At 53.2% G+C, this 17,344-nt stretch overlaps 1 protein-coding gene and 1 long non-coding RNA gene across 11 annotated transcripts in view, besides 4 other annotated features; one reads left to right on the top strand and one right to left on the bottom strand.

Annotated features, from left to right (window-relative positions):
- NLGN3 (neuroligin 3) overlaps positions 1-15,023 on the bottom strand; it is a 30,467-nt gene extending 15,444 nt beyond the window's left edge. For 2 of the 10 annotated variants that reach the window (XM_017029597.3, NM_181303.2), the window contains exons 1-5: positions 14,900-15,023; positions 11,658-12,314; positions 10,959-11,018; positions 6,328-6,387; positions 4,501-4,650 (exon numbers count right to left, since the gene is read on the bottom strand). In XM_017029597.3, coding sequence (XP_016885086.1) covers positions 4,501-4,650; positions 6,328-6,387; positions 10,959-11,018; positions 11,658-12,114 — 727 coding nt within the window. In that variant the 5' untranslated portion in view covers positions 12,115-12,314; positions 14,900-15,023. Of the gene's footprint in view, positions 1-4,500; positions 4,651-6,327; positions 6,388-10,958; positions 11,019-11,657; positions 12,315-13,316; positions 13,699-14,899 lie in introns of those variants that run through there. The other 8 variants (NM_001438296.1, XM_006724662.5, NM_001438298.1 and 5 more) reach the window with 8 other exon arrangements.
- Positions 6,182-6,681: an enhancer, noted in NCBI's record as "H3K4me1 hESC enhancer chrX:70373033-70373532 (GRCh37/hg19 assembly coordinates)". NCBI's record gives its function as "activates a minimal SCP1, AML or CMV promoter by ChIP-STARR-seq in primed H9 embryonic stem cells {active_cell/tissue: H9 hESC(primed)}" and the evidence as "EXISTENCE:reporter gene assay evidence [ECO:0000049][PMID:30033119]".
- Positions 7,544-17,318, top strand: LOC124905197 (uncharacterized). Its single transcript, XR_007068262.1, has 4 exons — positions 7,544-8,433; positions 8,558-8,680; positions 9,489-9,581; positions 16,237-17,318. It is a non-coding gene; the product is annotated as an uncharacterized LOC124905197 (long non-coding RNA).
- Positions 11,284-11,830: an enhancer, noted in NCBI's record as "H3K4me1 hESC enhancer chrX:70367884-70368430 (GRCh37/hg19 assembly coordinates)". NCBI's record gives its function as "activates a minimal SCP1, AML or CMV promoter by ChIP-STARR-seq in naive H9 embryonic stem cells {active_cell/tissue: H9 hESC(naive)}" and the evidence as "EXISTENCE:reporter gene assay evidence [ECO:0000049][PMID:30033119]".
- Positions 11,831-12,377: an enhancer, noted in NCBI's record as "H3K4me1 hESC enhancer chrX:70367337-70367883 (GRCh37/hg19 assembly coordinates)". NCBI's record gives its function as "activates a minimal SCP1, AML or CMV promoter by ChIP-STARR-seq in naive H9 embryonic stem cells {active_cell/tissue: H9 hESC(naive)}" and the evidence as "EXISTENCE:reporter gene assay evidence [ECO:0000049][PMID:30033119]".
- Positions 13,952-14,207: a silencer, noted in NCBI's record as "fragment chrX:70365507-70365762 (GRCh37/hg19 assembly coordinates)". NCBI's record gives its function as "represses an EF-1alpha promoter that drives an FKBP-Casp9 reporter gene in an ReSE screen in HepG2 liver carcinoma cells {active_cell/tissue: HepG2}" and the evidence as "EXISTENCE:reporter gene assay evidence [ECO:0000049][PMID:32094911]".

Below are 17,344 nucleotides of genomic sequence, written 5' to 3'. Positions count from 1 at the left end.
AATCCCAGATACTCCAGAGGCTGAGGCACGAGAATCGCTTGAACCCGGCGGCAGAGGTTGGCAGTGAGCTGAGATTGTGCCACTGCACTCCAGCCTGGGTGACAGAGCAAGACTCTGTCTCAATTAAAAAAAAAAAAGAAAAGAAAATTCCCAAGCATCAGGGACAAACCCATGTTCTACATCTGGTGTCAAGAGACAAAAACAAACATCTTATATGTACCCGGCATCCAATACGGGCTTATTGATTATATTTGTGTTCCAGAACAGGAACTGAAGGGTGTGCAGGAAGTGGTGAGGAACTTCTGAGCAAATCTCAGTGTAGGACTCCTTCTGAGTTTTCGGTGATATTTGATCATCAACTGCTTAAGCCCAAAGAAGAATGTTCCTGCCCCCTAGATGTGCTGTTCTGGTTATCCAAATGACGGGGCTGTCAAGTGCGAGTTCTTAACCTGACTTTCATGGATGAACTTAAGGGGGATCTGTAAAATTGTTTTTTCTTTCTTTCTTTTCTTTTCTTTTTCTTTTTCCTTTTCTTTTTTTTTTGAGATGGAGTCTCACTCTGTTGCCCAGGCTAGAGTGCAGTGGCACGATCTTGGCTCATTGCAACTTCCGCCTCCCAGGTTCAAGCAATTCTCCTGCCTCAGCCTCTTGAGTAGCTGGGACTACGGGCGCATGCCACCATGCCCAGCTCACTTTTGTATTTTTAGTAGAGACAGGGTTTAGTTGCCCAGGCTGGTCTTGAACTCCTGACCTCAGGTGATCCACCCACCTCATCCTTCCAAAGTGCTGGGATTACAGGCGTGAGCCACCACACCCGGCCCTGTAAAATTAAGTGTGTGTGTGCGCACATGCATGTGTGTGCACACACGCATGTGTGCATTGTTCCAGGGGAGAGTCCATAGCTTTCATCAGAATCTCAAAAGGGTCCAAGATGCCCCAAAAGGTTAAGAACTTCTGGTGTAGAAGCTTAAGGATTAGAGCAGCTGAAGGATTGTGAAGTAATCAGCAAATCAGGATATCATACGGAATGCTCACCAGCGACAGCCTTCTGTGCGGCCCACAGTTCCCAACTGACACTGTGGAGACTTCACATCCTACGTGAAATGCCGAGTCTCTCCCCAGATCCTAAGTCTCTCCTTCTGTCTCCTCTCTGCTTCCTCTCCCTGACTCTCTATTATCCTCTCATTTTCTTCTCTTCCTTGCTTTCTCCTCTTTCTCTCCCTCTTTTCCATGCTCTCTTTCTTCATTCCTAGCTGCTCTGAAGCATATTTTTAGTATTCTTTGTATTTTCCAATAAACCTTATAGAATGGAGCATTGTGTTTATATTTTTTTAAGCAGCTGAGCTGAGTGTTTTCTGTCACTCTAAGAAAAGAAAGTAGCAAAATTACTTTTGGCTTTGAACTACCGTGTACATGTGTCTGCATATCTGTTTGTGATCACATTTGCGCGTTCATTCCTCTCTAGAAACTGTGCAGCCCAGCCGGGCGCGGTGGCTCACGCCTGTAATCCCAGCACTTTGGGAGGCCAAGGCAAGTGGATCACTTGAGATCAGGAGTTCCAGACCAGCCTGGCCAACATAGTGAGACCTTGTCTCTACTAAAAATACAAAAATTAGCTGGGTGTGGTGGTGCACACCTGTAATCCATAATCCCAGCTGCTCGGGAGGCTGAGGTGGGAGGATCACTTGAGCCTGGGAGGTCGAGGCTGCGATGAGCCATGATTGCACCACTGCACTCCAGCCTGGGTGACAGAGTGAGACTCTGTCTCAAAAATTAATTAATTAATTAATTAATTAATTAAAAAAAGAAAGTGTGCAGCCCTAGTGTGTGGGTTTCCAGCCACCTTCATGGTACCATGAGATTCAACAGGACAGAACAGCTTACAAGAGCCTCACCATGGTGTCTGAGGTGATGCAGAAAGACAGAGGGGCAGGAGCAGAACCATGACATCCCAACATCCCAAGCCTACCAGACCGTGGGGAGGCCAGCGTGAATGGCCTGCATGCTCCATATTCAGTCTCCCGGGCGCCAATGAAGGGGACACCGACTTTGCTTTTTTAAAGGAGCATCATTTCTGCAGTTTGAACCCCAAAAGAGTATCTTCCTATCTCACATAGTATTAATTGTAAACCAAGAGAAGATTGCCGTTCTGGGCATACAACTGCACCCAGAAGTGAAATGCAGCCCCGGAGCCTCTGAGATTGGAACTGACAAAGCAATATAGTCAAGAGAAAATTAAGGGCCAGGCGTGGTGGCTCATGCCTGTAATCCCAGCACTTTGGGAGGCTGAGGCAGGCAGATCACCTAAGGTCAGGAGTTCGAGACCAGCCTGGCCAACATGGTGAAACCCTGTCTCTACTAAAAATACAAAAATTAGCCTGGCATGGTAGCAGGTGCCTGTAATCCCAGCTACTCAGGAGGCTGAGGCAGGAGAATCAGTTGAACCCGGGAGGCGGAGGTTGCAGTGAGCCAAGATGGTGCCATTGCACTCCAGCCTGGGCGACAGAGTGAGACTCTGCCTCAAAAACAAAATAAAAATAATAAATAAATAAATAAATAAATAAATAAATAAATAAGCAAATTAAAATAAGGCCCTTGAGGTGGGAGGATGATCACTTGAGCTCAGGAGTTCAAAACTGGCCTGGGCAAGAGTGAGACCCTGTCTCAAAAATTAAATGAAAATAAAATCAAATATGGTCGTGTCCCCTAGTTAGCCATGGAATAAGCCACGCCTAACTGCTGGTTTAGCACCCATATGCCTACAGACCTGACCAAGAGCCTACACTCCCGCTGAAACTCTTCCTCCAGGAAGAAGTTGGCTTCTTCATGCCACTACAGGGATGCGGGGCTTGGGGGAGCATGAGCAGGGCCCTGTGTGCTTAGTCACCCTCTCTGAGGCACTCGTTTACCTCAAGACCTTGGCCATAGATAGGCATGGGTGGTCACCAAGGAAGGTACAGGGTTCAAGGGCAGCCTAAATGACTGACACAAGCTTGTGCACAGCAGAGAATGCGGGGGTGGGGAGGTGTATGGGTGCATATGAGGAGGCATTTCGGCAATGAGTGCATATGCATGGGAGTATGTGTGTGATGGGTGGGAGTGTGCAGGGGACATGCTTAGAGTACAAAGAGTGTGTACGTGTGCATATACGGGGTAAGGAAGTGTGGGGAGACTTGGGGGATGCGGTTGGGCCTGGGTAGAGGTGTGTGTGCATGTATGGATACAGATGCAGCCCCATGTACACGGATGTGTATATATTTGTGGGGTGGGGTGAGGGGAGAAGTGCATGGGTGTGTGCTGGGTGTACATATACAGGCTGTATATGGAAGAGTGTGCGCATGTATACGCGTGCATGCATATGTGGATGTGTGTGTGGGGGAATGTATGTGTAGGGGAATGACATAAGGGCAGTGTGTGGGATGTATATAGATGTGGATATGGTGTGTGTGTAGTATCTGTGTATGTGTGGGGTGGGACAGTGTGGACAAACAGGTAAGAGTATATGTGTGTAGGGAAGGGGAATATTTGTTTGTGTTTCTGAGGAGATAGTGAGGGACAGGTGTGTGTGGTAGGTGGATGTGTAAAGTGGATGTGGAAGTAGGGTGTGCAGGGGGATACGGGCGTGTGTAGGTATTTGTGGGGGGTGGGTGGAAGGAATATTTATGTACATTTAAGGTGTATATGTGTGGAGTTTGGTGTGGACATGGATGTGCAGGGTGTAGGTTTTTGTGTGGGCTGTAAATATGGGGGTAAAGTGTGAGTGTGGGTGTGTATGCATCGTGGGTATCGGTGTAGATGTGGCTACAGAGACATGGGGAGAAGTATATGAGCATGTGTGTGTGTACATGCGGAGGGTGAGAGCCATCTGCGGGGTGCAGACGTGGAGTACACAGACCGTGTGGGTATGTGGATATGTGTTCTGGAGAGACCATGTGAATGGAGTTACCTGGAGTGCTAGGAGAATGTGTTTACATGTGAGGGGCCTGGAGATGTGAATGTGGGGCTAGGTGTGTGTACTTTATGGGGGTGAGTGAGAAATCACCGTCTTCCTGCAGGTGCATGGCGGGGTGGATGTGTAAACACATGAAGGTAAATAGGTGTGTGGCCATGGAGTGGACTGGAAGGAATATCTGTGCATGTGTGGGGTGTTTAGAGATGTGGGGCGGGTGGGTAGAGGTGAAGACAGGACAGTGGAAAATTGAAGCATCCTACAAAACTCAGCCAAGTCAAAGTCTGGAAGCAGAGACCTGGCTTGGGACCTGAGAGAAGGTGTGAAGTTTGAATTGAATTTCTGGTGGCATCTAAACCTTCCAAGAAAGGGCCTGGGGATATGGGGAAGCCCCTAGCATTTGGGTAGGGGCCAGAGGATAACACCATTTTGACTGTGGTTATTAGCACCAGCTAGAGAAGCAAGGCTATCTGTTTTTAAATTCTCCAGCATTCTTTCCTCCCCCCTTGCGAAGCCAGTCTTCCTTCCAGGCACCAGGCAGGGAACCATACCTAGCACTCCAACCCGATAGTTGAGGGTGATGACGATGACATTGCCATAACTGGCGAGGATGCTGCCATCAATCATGTTGCCTGTCCCTTCCATGTAAGAGCCTCCGTGGATGTAGACCATGACGGGTTTAGCACCACTGTCCCGGATGTCTGCAAGGAGAAGGGGTGAGACACAGGCTGGGTGGGATGCCCTTGCTCCCCCACCCCTGCCAGCCCAGGGGGTGGGTGCGGGCAGCAAAGCTATCCCAGGTGCCAGGACACCACCGCCATCCCTGAGGGCAGGACTCATGGGGTTGCTCAACCTGGAGCTCAAGCATCAGCCCGAGACAGTGGGGCTTCAGTGATATTTTTAAAGGCTCTGGTTTCAAGTGCCTCCCAGCTGAAGGCAGCCAGGCATGTGATACAGCCAGGCCTCAGTGGGCCATGGCTGGGCCCTGGGGGCGGGGGGCAGCAGAAAGAGGAAGGGCTGGTCCTTTAGCCACATCAAGTGAGTCGCTGCCCTGGGCACCCAGGAGTCCTGGGACCTGACATGGCTTTAGAGAGCAGGAGCTGGGGAGCCCTGAAACCCCCAAGACTAGACCAGTTACATGGAAAAACGGCCATTGGCAGCAGCTGGCCCCCCAGTGCAGACAGAGACAAGAGGTGTGGGAATAAGGGGTGGCACAGGGAGAGAACAAGGAAGGATGTGGGAAAGGGGAGTGAATGGCAGAGATAGGGTGGGGGGAACCTTGTTGACATGGTTTCTTAGCCATGTGCCCATTTCCCCATTCTCCCTGGGCAGACTTAACCAGAAGCATTGGGGATGGGGAAGAACTAAGAATGACAGAGCCTGCTCCCAGTCAGCACCAAGATGAAGATGGAGCCTCCCCAGAGGCCATTCAACAAGGGACCATCAAGCGGCTGCTCCCGAGCCCAGGCGGCACGGCATCAGGGCTGGGGCAGTCAAGAGAAGGCTCCAGGCCTGATCACCTCTGCCTGTAGCCTGTCAGTCCGTGAACTGGACCAATACTCTCTGCCATGCCAGCACAGCCCTACCCATCACCACTGGGCCCCCCTGAGCTGCCTGGCCCCTTCGGGGCAGAGGGGCAGGGCCAGGGCATGGAGGAGGAAGGGAATGCTCTCTGCTGCGGAGCAAACAGAACTTGTTTCTCCAAGGAGGAAGGCTGGTCCGATCATTGCCCAAGGATCTTATGCCATCTATTGATGGCTGTGGTGTCCTGGCCTCAGCCTGGCATTTTAGCCCAGTCTTTCTGGCCTTGTCTTGTACCTACTGCAGCCCCTAGCCCCGAGACCATCTCTCTCTTTTCTAGAAGGCTGGGGAGGTTCTGGTGCTGCTTTTCCAGCCCCTTTGGTTGTCACTGCCTCACTTCCCAGTTCACCATCCTGCGGGGCCCCTCTCCCAGAAGCCAGGCTCCCTGTGAGACACAGGGGTCTCTTCACTGAAACACAGGTAATCTCCTTGCCGTTCCGTTGTCTTTGTCCTCTCCCCGCCCTCAGTGGTCCTGCTTTCTCTCCACTCTCCCTGCTGCTCAGTAGGGGCAGGTGCCTCTGAACCACAGAAGATGGGGAAGGGGCGGGAGACCCAGGCAAGGAGGATGTCCTCCCCATGGCTCTGCTTGTGGTCCCCTGCTCCTGCCAGCCATGTCCATCACCCCGGAACTCCCAGTGGCCAACAGGGCCAAAGACAGATGAACAGCCCAACGGCCTTGTACAGGAACAGAAACACACCAACGGACAGACAGACAGACAGACGGGGCTTCTCCCCATCGAGAAGGGGAGGGGCTCTGTGCCATGCACCAGCCGCCGCGCCCTGCAGCCCCCAAATACCTTCATCTTCATCCCCGTCATTATCCGCTAAGTCCTCGCCCTGTTTCTTAGCGCCGGATCCTGGGGACCAGACACGGGGAGACACAACAGCACAGAACAGAGAACAAAACAGAGAGAGAATTCAAAAACAGCATGACTGCAGTGTGGCCCAGCAAGCCAGCTCCGGGCCTGGGCCCAGGACAGGCAGGAGGGATGGCAAGAACTGAGGGAATGGGTGGGCTGAGGCCCAGACCTTCATCAGGATGATGGTGTTGCAGGCCCCTGCTGTGCTGGCCTCTCTGCACCGCCTTGCCCCGCCTCCTTGTCCCCAACAGCCCATCTCAACCAACTACCTTTCCAGTGAGGAAGGAGGTAGCAGCAAGTGGGCCAGGGCACAGAGCCAGAGACCCTCTCAGGGGAAGGATTCATTCTGGGTGGAAGGGGCTGCTTGTGTGTACACAGGCAGGTCGAGCTGGAGAGCAGGGTCAGGTACCAAGGGTGAGGGGTGACACTGCCAGCAAGTGTGGAGGTTGTGGATACGAGGTACTTAGGGCAGAGACGTGTAGAGGGACCCCAGGCCTGAGCTCCTGGGGCCCAGTGGGCAGGCTCAAGCTGGGCCTCAGCTGACCCTGATTCCCACAGGAGAAAATGGGAGATGAAGCTTTCCCTCTGGTCTTCCTTGTTGGAGCCCCTGCTCTGGTTAATGGCAAATGGGGTTCCTGCCCACAGGAACCAGTGTTGAGAGCAGCAAGCATTGCTCTGAGATGTAGAGAGAGCCAGAGAGGGAGAGAGGGACAGAAGAAAGGGGAAGAGGAGAGAGGGATGGTGAGAGAGAGAGAAAAAAAATAGAAGAGAAACAAAGAGATAGGAATAATGGTCACAGCTCCAACCATGTACTGAATATTCACCATGTGCCAGACACTCTGCTTCTGCCATATTGTTTGATCCTTACACCCCAGTGAGATAGGTCCTATCCTTATTATTGTTTCACTGATGGGGAAACTGAGGTTCAGAGGGGTAAAGTGACTTGCTCAAGATCACACAGCTAGGAAGTGCTAGAGGTGCGATTCACACCCAGGTCTGCTTGACTCCAAAGCCCATGGTCTTTCCACTGCATCATGCCACCTTTCTGGGGTGGGGGAAAGGGGAAGGAAGGGAAGAAATAGATGAGAAAAGCAGTGGGGCATGTAGGGGGAGAGAAGGGGCAAGGAGGGGAAGAGAAAAAAGAAGAGACTAGAGGTGAGAAGGGAGACATTTAGGATCTGGGGCTAAGCTGGCACAGATTCTCCTTCCTGTTCTAAGGAGGCTAGAAGTGCATCCTGGCGATGGCTGTGGAGGGAGAGGACCGGCTGTCTGGATGCTGGTCAGTGTGTGGAAACAGAGGGGGCTGTGCTGCCAACCCAGGCATCTATGACATCAGATACCCTCAGCCTGGAGGGAGTAAAGAGCCCTCTTTCCCAGCCGGTCTGGACTCTGATGACTAGATTTCCTTACAGCCATTCATCAAAACAGGAACTGCCCTCATCCTACAAAATGGCTTTTCAACCAGGACAAGAGCACAGCTCTAGGGGAGAAATTGCCTCTGGCTCCCTGAACTTCCGGTGGCACCTACCGTCTTAACACATTAGCTCAACACCTGCCAGTGCTGTCCTCAGAAACCTTAATGGGACATGGGCATCATCCCTCACACTGCGGACAGCCTACCAAACGGGAAGGAATTGCTCATCCCCAGACACGAATTCCTTCCAACTTGATGGGGTGGGGTGTTGGGGAGATGGGGCAGGTCTTCCCCAGGAAACCCTTCATTTCCCATCATCCCTGACTTAGAAGATAAGTCCCTTGTGAATCCCTCTGAAAGTGTTCCTGGGTTGCTGCATTGTCTCAGCCTCCTTCACACAGATGCCTTTGCTCCTTCAGCCTGGCACTTCCTGAGCAGCTCCTAGCCGCCATGCCTCTCACCCAGGCCAGCCTGACTGCCGACCACCATTCCCAGACCCTGCGCCGCTGAGGGATCCCAGCCAGGCTGGTCCCCAGACCTCTGCACACCACAACCCTAACGACCTCCGAGGATGGGTCTCCCTCAAGAGGCGGGATTTGTCACTCTTCCAAATGGCCACCAGGTCCTGGGTAGGGAACTAATTTGAACAGTGAAATGACCAAATGCCTTCCCTTGCACTGTCTGGAACCCACTTCCTGATTGGCCCATGGGACTTAGGGAAACCAGCTGAGTTTTTTTTTTTTCTTTTTTTAGATGGAGTTTCAGCCTTGTTGCCCAGGCTGGAGTGCGATGGCACCACCTCGGCTCACTGCAACCTCCACCTCCTGGGTTCAAGCGATTCTCCTGCCCCAGCCTCCCAAGTAGCTGGGACTACAGGTGTGTGCCACCATGCACCTGTATTTTTAGTAGGGATGGGGTTTCACCATATTGGCCAGGCTGGTCTCGAATTCCTGAACTCAAGTGACCCACCCGTCTTGGCCTCTCAAAGTGCTGCAATTATAGGCATAAGCCACCGCGCCCGGCCAAACCAGCTGAGTTTTAATACAAGGCTAAGAGCTTCTTCAGAGCAGTGATTAGGCCTTTAGTCATTTCTAAATCTTTCCTCTACCTCACATCCCTCCACATCCCAACAACACCTAGCACATGGCCTTGCCCACAGTCAACAATCACGATTGGTAAATGTGCATGTTTGAGCCGGGGCTTCCAGTCTGCTCTCTGGCCACACTCTCAGGGCTGGACTGGACAGCCCAAGGCTCTTACTGGGCGATCATTCTTCCTAAGAAATGGTTAATGTGAATGCCATCTCTCCTTCAGGTTTTTTTCTTTTCTTTTCTTTCTTTTTTTTTTTTTTTTTTTTTGAGATGGAGTCTCGCTCTGTCGCCCAGGCTGGAGTGCAGTGGCACGATCTCGGCTCACTGCAAGCTCTGCCTCCTGGGTTCATGCCATTCTCCTGCCTCAACCTCCCGAGTAGCCGGAACTACAGGCACCCGCCACCACGCCCAGCTAATTTTTTGTATTTTTTAGTAGAGACGGGGTTTTGCCGTATTAGCCAGGATGGTCTCGATCTCCTGACCTCGTGATCCACCTGCCTCGGCCTCCCAAAGTGCTGGGATTACAGGCGTGAGCCACCACGCCCGGCCTCTCCTGCAGGTTTAAGAGACCTTCCTCCTGAATTCATTTACAGGCTAATGGAATGCTAAGGCCAGAACTGTACCCTACCAACCTCAGATGTGGAAACAGAGGTTCTTGAAGGACAAGACTTGCCTAAGGTCTCACTGTGAGTTGGCAGCAGAGCTGGGACTCAGGCCTTGTGCTTCCCAGACCTGTACTCTTTCTGCAGCACCATGATGCTTCTGAATTACACAAAAAACATCAATTGCCTATGGTGTGTGAGGTCCTGGGTGGGGTATGGGGCTGTGGTGAAATACTATCCCTACAGCAGCGGGTCTCATTCCATGCTCGGGTGTGCATTAGAAGCGCTCAGGGCTCATGTTCAACATATAGATTTCCAGGCTCTGCCCCCAGAAATTCTTATTCAGTAAGGAGCACCCCATCCCAGAAATCCTGGCAACCCCATTCTGAGAAACTCTGCCCTAGGACATCAAAGGAAAACAAACTCCCAGCTTGCCAGAGGGTTGTAGGGATCAAGCTGTGATTTTTCCACCTGTTCCTTAGGCTGTTACTGTTCCAATTCTCCCCAGCCCAGCCACATCTCACCATTTTTTTTGAGTTGGGGAGATGGGAATGAGCAGATGGGAGTTGCTTCTGTGTGCTACAGTGGAAAGAACACGCCCTGAAGGTCAAGAGACCCAGGTTTTGGTCCCAGCTCTGCCACAGACCAGCGACAGGGGCCTTGAGCAGCAGCAAGTCACTCCCCTGGGCCTGTTTCCTCATCTGTAAAATTGGGATACTGATTCCTGCCTTAGACGCTTCCAGAGATACAGGGAGGATTCTCTAAGGTAAATGCCAAGGCACTTTACAGAAAACATGAAGTGATATTCCAACAGGAAGAATTATTATACAGGGGGAGAAACTCCTCTCAGCATGAGGGTAAATTTAAAATTCAGGATCTTTTGCCTCCTTTAAAGTCCATAGTTCCCAGAGACCCCCAAGTTCTGCCACCAGAGCAGCCTGGGTCTATCAGCTACACTCTGGCCAGAGGTAGTGGGGTGGGAGACAGAGGTGTGTATGGCAGGAGTTACTAAACCTGTGTACACGTTTGGTCTAAGCTTCAGGGTGGGAAAATTGAGTCTAGACTTTCAATCCAGGAGAAAGAACACAGAAGGGATGGTCTTCTGGCTCCACCCACTAGGAAAAGGGTGGAGCCTCTGGCTCCATCTTGGCTTCCTAGAGTTTCTCCTGAGGTGTCACCGAGAGAGCCACTGGCTCTGCCTTTGGCACACACTTTAGGGTGGAATTTGGGGCTGGGAAGATTGGAAGAAATAGGGTTGCTGCTTCTGCTCTGAGCCTGCCTTAGGCCACCAAATCCTCCCTGCAAGGCAGCCAGGGCCCTCAGATGAGGTGGCGCTTATGCCTGCTTACTGCCCCCTGAGCCTGGGCTACTTGGAGGAAGGCTGGGTCCTGGGGGCAAGGGCAGGTGGGCAGGCAGCCCTCCCTCTCTCTCTCTCTCCCTCCCCGCCGGCTCGCTACCTACCTCCTTTCCTACAAATTTTCTTGTTGGGCTTTCGGGCGCATTCCTTGGAAATCCGCTTTACTGTAAAATGAATAAAAAACTAAAAAATAACAGGAGGCCTCTGCCCAGGGGCATGCACCCCCCACCCCCCAGGCCCCAAGAGCTGAGCTGCTCTGCAGGCGGCACATGGCAGAGAGCCTGTCCCACCATCTCCTTGTTTCTGTCACTTACCTTAGTGTGACCCCCGCGGGAGGAGGCATCAGCTAGTGAAAGAGGAGGCACCTAAGCATCACCCACCAGGCTTGCTGCCCCACCCCCCACACACCCAGTGCCCTTGGCCACACACACCTACCACCTTTCGAAGCAGGTGGAATGGCAACAGGGGGGCCTGGTGGAGCCAGCATCCTCCCGCGGGTAGCTGCCAGCCGTGACCCATACTCCCCCAGGGGACCCCCATCCAGCACTGGACCGAGACCCGTCAGAGCTCTCAGGCCGGGCCAGGCCCCTCCTGGCAACAGTGTCACTCACACATGGGAGCTCGGACAATGCTGGGAGAGGGAAGAACAGGGAGGGGGGTGGGAGGCCAAGCAGAGTGATGGTTAGAAGCATTTTCACAGACAGACAGATGCATGCTGCAGGGCACACAACCACATGCAAGCCACAAACACAGCAGGGCAGGCGGGAGGCAGGGAGGGCACAGTGCCTGGCCGCAGCACTCACCATCCTCCGTCGGCACATAGACGTTCAGGTAGAGACAGTCTTCGTTGGGCTCCTGGATGTAAGTAGCGACGATATCCAAGTTGGCAGTGAACCAGACCGGCAGCATGACTTCGGGCACAGCTGTGTGGATGTTCTGGGGGCACACTGGGGGAAAGTGTGTGGCGTTCCGGATGCCCGACCAGGATGGGGGTGGTTCAGGGGGCAGGAAACGTTTCTCGCCGATCGGGGGAGCTGCGTAGGGCACCCCCAGGTATTGGTCCACAGGCCCCAGGATCTCACTGGGCAGTGGTACTCGGGCACCCCTTAGCTTCCCAAAGTGAGTGTTGACTGTGGGTGCTGGGGCCTGGGTACTGGCCCTCAGCGCCAAACTGAGGAACCACAGGGTGAGGCACAGGCTCCTGCCAACCGTGGGCTTGGGGCTCAGGGACAGCGAGGGCGGGCCAAGCCGCAGCCACATGTTCCGGGCAGGGGGACTGGCAGGAGAGGCAGACTCCAGGGTCACAGCATCAGCCCAATAGGCAGCCCCTTCATGGCCACACTGACTTGAACCTCAAAACTGAGCTCTCGAGGGACACCTACAGGTGCCCAGCAATGTAGAGAGCAGGTCGTCCAAGCACCACAGCTTCAGAAAGGGGACTCCCTCAGGGCCAGACAGGCCTGTGGAAAGAGGGAAGTATGCGTCATCCAAGATGGTCTGGGAGGGCAACAGAGTTGGTCTTTGGGGGCCCTGCTGGGCTTGGGCTATTCTCTTATAGGTAGGAGAGGTTTCACATGCCCAGGGGCCCAGGGACTGTGATCCCACAGATGATCCACTGCCAATCAGAACCATTCTATGTGCCTGGCCATGGCTGGAAAATCCAAGGGGTTTGACAGTGACAGTTGTTGCCACTGCAAGTTCCCGGTGCCCAACTTCAATTCTACAGCCAAAGGGGTTCATCAGGGTCGGCTGGAGCCAGAATAGCATGTGACAGCCAGGGGGTGGGGAGAAACAAAAATGGAGCTCAGGTCCCTGGGCATGCTGCTTGAACAGAGCTGTGTAGCCCTTGGGACCTGGTAAGCCCACACAGGGACCTCCACTTCAGGACAGGGTGGGATTGTCAACCTCACTCCGGGACACTAAGACACAAGAACAGAAAGCAGCAAATCGGCAGAGTCCCACAGAGAGACTCCCTCACCCTCAGGCAGGGCAGAGGGCGGGACAGCCATTCACGGGAGTCCTCCTCGGACCCTCCTGCGCCCCTCCTGTACATTTCTCCTCAGCCCTCACTGCTCCCAAATCCTTAAGCCTTGGTCCTTTCGGTTGGCTCTCTCTTAATTCACACCGAATTCCAGAAGTGAGGCAGAAAGAGTTCTGCCTAGCACCCTAGGCATTGTGGATGCTCTTCCGGTGTATTATAAAATAAACAACGGAGCATGGGGAACACATATTCAGAGACTCATAGAAATAAACTCACAAAGACTCAAAGAGGGAATGAGAGAGACCAAGCCAGGATCACAGACACTGCGATATTCACTCACAGAGACATATATTCCAAACCCACAGAGATCCCCTCATATAGTCCCACATTCTGAGACAGAGCACCTCACACAGCCAGAGCCTCACAGAATGATACATTCAGAGACACACATAGAGACTTACTGAAATATAATCACACATACCCGCATAGGTAAATATCCAGACACATGCAGCATAATGGTGACACATAGGTGGAGACAGAAACAGAAATAGCAACACACTCAGACACATAGGCCTTCTGACACAGTTACACAGTCAACACATAGACACAGGCACACACAGATACTCCCGCATGCTCCCGCACACACACGCACACACACGCACACCCACGCCACATGCACATTTAGTTTTCCTCCATTTCTCCCGCCTTCCCAGATTGCAGGCCTGCTCCTTTAAGAACTGGCTGAAGGGGTGGGGGAGGGAGATTGGGAACGCCCGGCAATCAGCCACCACGAGAGGGGAATGAGAATGTGTGTGTGTGTGTGTGTGTGTGTGTGTGTGTGTGTGTGTGTGTGTGTCTGTGTGTGTGTGTGTGTGAGAGAGAGAGAGAGAGAGAGAGAGAGAGAAGAAAAAGGAAGAGGAGGGAGGGCGGGTAAAGTGGCTAAAGGGGTGGGGGCTCAGAGGAAATGAGGAAATGGGGAGCAAAGTATGGGGGGTAAGATCCCAGACACTGCCCAGAATGCACCCGGGTGTGGGGAGGAGGGGAAGGGGAAGGAAGGGGTAGGAGTAGGGAGGTGGGGCAGGAGGGAGTGGGTGGGTGTGTGTATTGGGGGGGGCATAGTCCGCAGCTGAGTTCACACAATCCCCCCATTCACCGTCTCCATGGCAACTCCAGGGCACAGACCGCTCATTCACACAGCTTCCCCACCAGCAACCCCCCCACATTAACCCCCTCGGTGCTGCCCCCAACCCACAAATTCCATTAACCCTTTCGGGATGCCCTCCTCTCCAGTAACCCTTCGGCGCCAAATGCCAAATTCTCCTTTGAGTCAATTCCCTGCAGCCCCTCCCCCGTGAACACCTAGACAATCGGACCGACCCCCAAACGCCCTCTGTACCCTAGGACCCACTGTGAATCCCCAAGGCCAAGATCTCCATCCTGGTCCAACTTGCAATTTGGGAGAAGACAAGGGGAGGCAGCAATGCCGGGGATGAGAATGGCATCTCGGGGTACTTTTGGGGCTGCAGCGGTGCTGGGCGCGGGGCATTGTGCAGGAATGGACCAATATTGAGAACTGCAGTATTGGGGGCTACGAGGGCTTGGAATGGATTGGGGGATGGAGTTGCACTGGAATGGGGGAGGATAGGATAAAGGCCTCCATTGGGTGGGGGGGCTGCAGATAGTGGGGGAGGGAGCCTGGCTATGAGATGCTATGATGGAAGGGGGATGGGGCTGCACTGCAGGGGAGGGGGGACTGGCAATGTGCAATCCCGGGATGGGGCTGGGGGCCCTCAATAGGGGTATTTTGATGAGCATGCGGGATGGGCTGTGGAAATAGAGGGACCATGGGCGGGAGGATGTTAGGGATGCGGGATTTAGGGAGGAGGTAGAAGGGAGAACAGAAGCGGGGGAGGATCGGGGGTCAGGGGTACCGATGGAGAACATGGGGTTGAGAGGGATGGGGGCCACTGGCTGGGGAGTGGAGGAGCCTGGGATTGGGAGGGGTTAGGATGGGGGCAAGGTATGGGCAGCTAGAGGATGAGAGACCGGGGCAGGCGGCCTCACCTGTTCCCCGGGCTGCTGCAAGCGACTGAACCGGGCCACGGACCACCCATATCGCCTCCAGGCCAAGGGCTCCGCACCCGAATCCCCGAGATCAGCTCTCCGGCAGCCTGGCTGCTGTGCCCGCGCACCGAGGGGGCGCGCTGCGCGTTCCCGGACACGGGGGGGCGCGGTCCCTGCCATTAACTCCTTTTGTGCCAGAGATGGCTCAAGTCCTGGGGCATGGCCCAATTCCCCCCATGCTCAGGCACGTTCCGCTCCCTCTCTCTCACGCGGGCGCGCACACACACCTCAGATTGCAAGCTATCAGACAGGTGATCTTCCAGGGCAGCTAGCCCAAACTTTACCCGCAAAGCTTGAGACTTTGTCCCAAAGGGAGAAACTGAGGCACTGCCTGCAGGAACCCTCAGTCATACTACACAAAAACACACCTCCACCTCAATCAGCATCCCTTATTTCTCAGCGCCAGCACTACCCAAGCAGCAACCAGTGGGGCCACTCTGCTCTCATCCTGTCACTCTCCCAAAGGTCAATGCTGTTCCCTTCTGCTGCTTCTGCTGGGGCATGTCAGACTGTCAGCATGCCAGTTGTCTGACCATTTCAGTCTCTCCCCTCCAGGTTCAGTGTCTTTGTGTCTTGTGTTTTTGTATGTGGCGCACCTGCCATTTGTTTAGCAACCCCCAAGCCCCTCTGAATGTCCCTCATCCCAGCCAAGCCTGTACTCCTGTGGCTCCTCAGAATGTTTATGTCAGGATAGAATAAGTGAGAAGAAAGCTTCAGTCATGTTTGCCTTTACACTGTTGGGGAGTTCCATTCCTTGTGCACGCAACTCTTAAACTTGGTAAGTCCCATATAAGCAAGGGCTTCGTGGGCCTCAAAGAGGGCTATTTTATTTTTTATAACTTGGGTACTGATTGGTGCTCCTGGTTTTGCCAGCACACTAGACACTTCCCAGTAATAGGGTGCAACTATGGCTTGCATGTTATCCTTAAGTTGTCAAATCATCCTGTACCACCCACTCACAAGGCTGAGGCTGATCCTCTTCCAGCCCTAGCTAGGCAGGGCAGAAGACTCCAAGACTCCATTGTAGTAAACCAGTTGGCTCTCCTGGACAGCCTTGGATCTAGAACTCAAACTGGAAAGCAAGAGGGCGAGAATGGCCCTGCCGCAGCTCCAAATGTGACTCTGGGGCAACAGTTTTGAGTTTTCTCTACTGTAAAATGGGAGCGAGCAAGTCATCCTGGGTAACTGCCAAGGTGGGTCACGTGAGAACAGGCAGTTCTGGCAGTAGGGCAGAGAGAGAAAGGGTGCTTATTTTTACTGGTCTCTCTTCCTCCTAGAACCAAACGGTCCTTCCACGACCTATTCTATGATGGCACATGCCAATGGAGGGCAATTTTTCATCCAGGAATGTGACTCTCAGGGAAGTTCTCTGTCCTATGAAAGGTATGCCACTTGGTGCATGATGGGGACCACACAAGATGACAAGAAGGGTAGGCAGTGTCTGTCATCTCCACCCTCCCCAGCTTGTTTGAGGCCCAACATCTGGGGTGTTGTGGAAGAAGAATCAGGTTCTATTGATGTTTCCCCTGGCCTAATGGCCCCTCCTCAATCCCAGCGGTATATCCCCCATGGAGGAAAGCTGTAAAGAAGCTCCAACATTTAGTTGAGAATGTTCATTGCCCCTTCTTAAAAGACTAAGGGGACGGGTGTGGTGGCTCATGCCTGTAATCCCAGCACTTTGGGAGGCCAAGGCGGGCAGATCACCTGCGGTCAGGAGTTCGAGACCAGCCTGGCCAACATGGTGAAACCCCGTCTCTACTAAAAATACAAAAATTAGCCAGGCCTGGTGGCATATGCCTGTAATCCCAGCTACTCGAGAGGCTCTGAGGCAGGATAATCACTTGAACCCAGGAGGTGGAGGTTGCAGTGAGCTGAGACTGTGCCACTGAACTCTAGCCTGGGCGACAAGAGCAAAACTCCATCTCAAAAATAAATAAAAAGAGACTAAGGGCCTATACCTTAATGTGTTGCCATGTTGAAGAAGAGGAAGAGAGGGTAGCAATCCAATTAGAATTAAGAAATTTAGGCCGGGCGCGGTGGCTCACGCTTGTAGTCCCAGCACTTTGGGAGGCTGAGGCAGGTAGATCATGAGGTCAGGAGTTCGAGACAAGCCTGGCCAACATGGTGGAACCCTGTCTCTACCAAAAAAAACACAAAAATTAGCCGGGCGTGATGGCACATAACTGTAATCCCAGCTGCTCGGGAGGCTGAGGGAGGAGAATCGCTGGAACCCGGGAGGCAGAGGTTGCAGTGAGCCGAGATCGCGCCACTGCACTCCAGCCTGGGCGACAGAGCAAGACTCCGTCTCAAAAAAAAAGAAAAAAAGAAATTTTAGAGTGTAAGGTAAACAGGGGAGATGATCAGAATAGAATGAAGACTCTGACT

This window comes from Homo sapiens, chromosome X (genome assembly GCF_000001405.40).
Source record: "Homo sapiens chromosome X, GRCh38.p14 Primary Assembly".
NCBI classification, from domain to species: Eukaryota; Metazoa; Chordata; class Mammalia; order Primates; family Hominidae; genus Homo; species Homo sapiens.
Note: the sequence above shows the minus strand (reverse complement) of the source record. Positions and strands in the feature narration are given on the sequence as shown.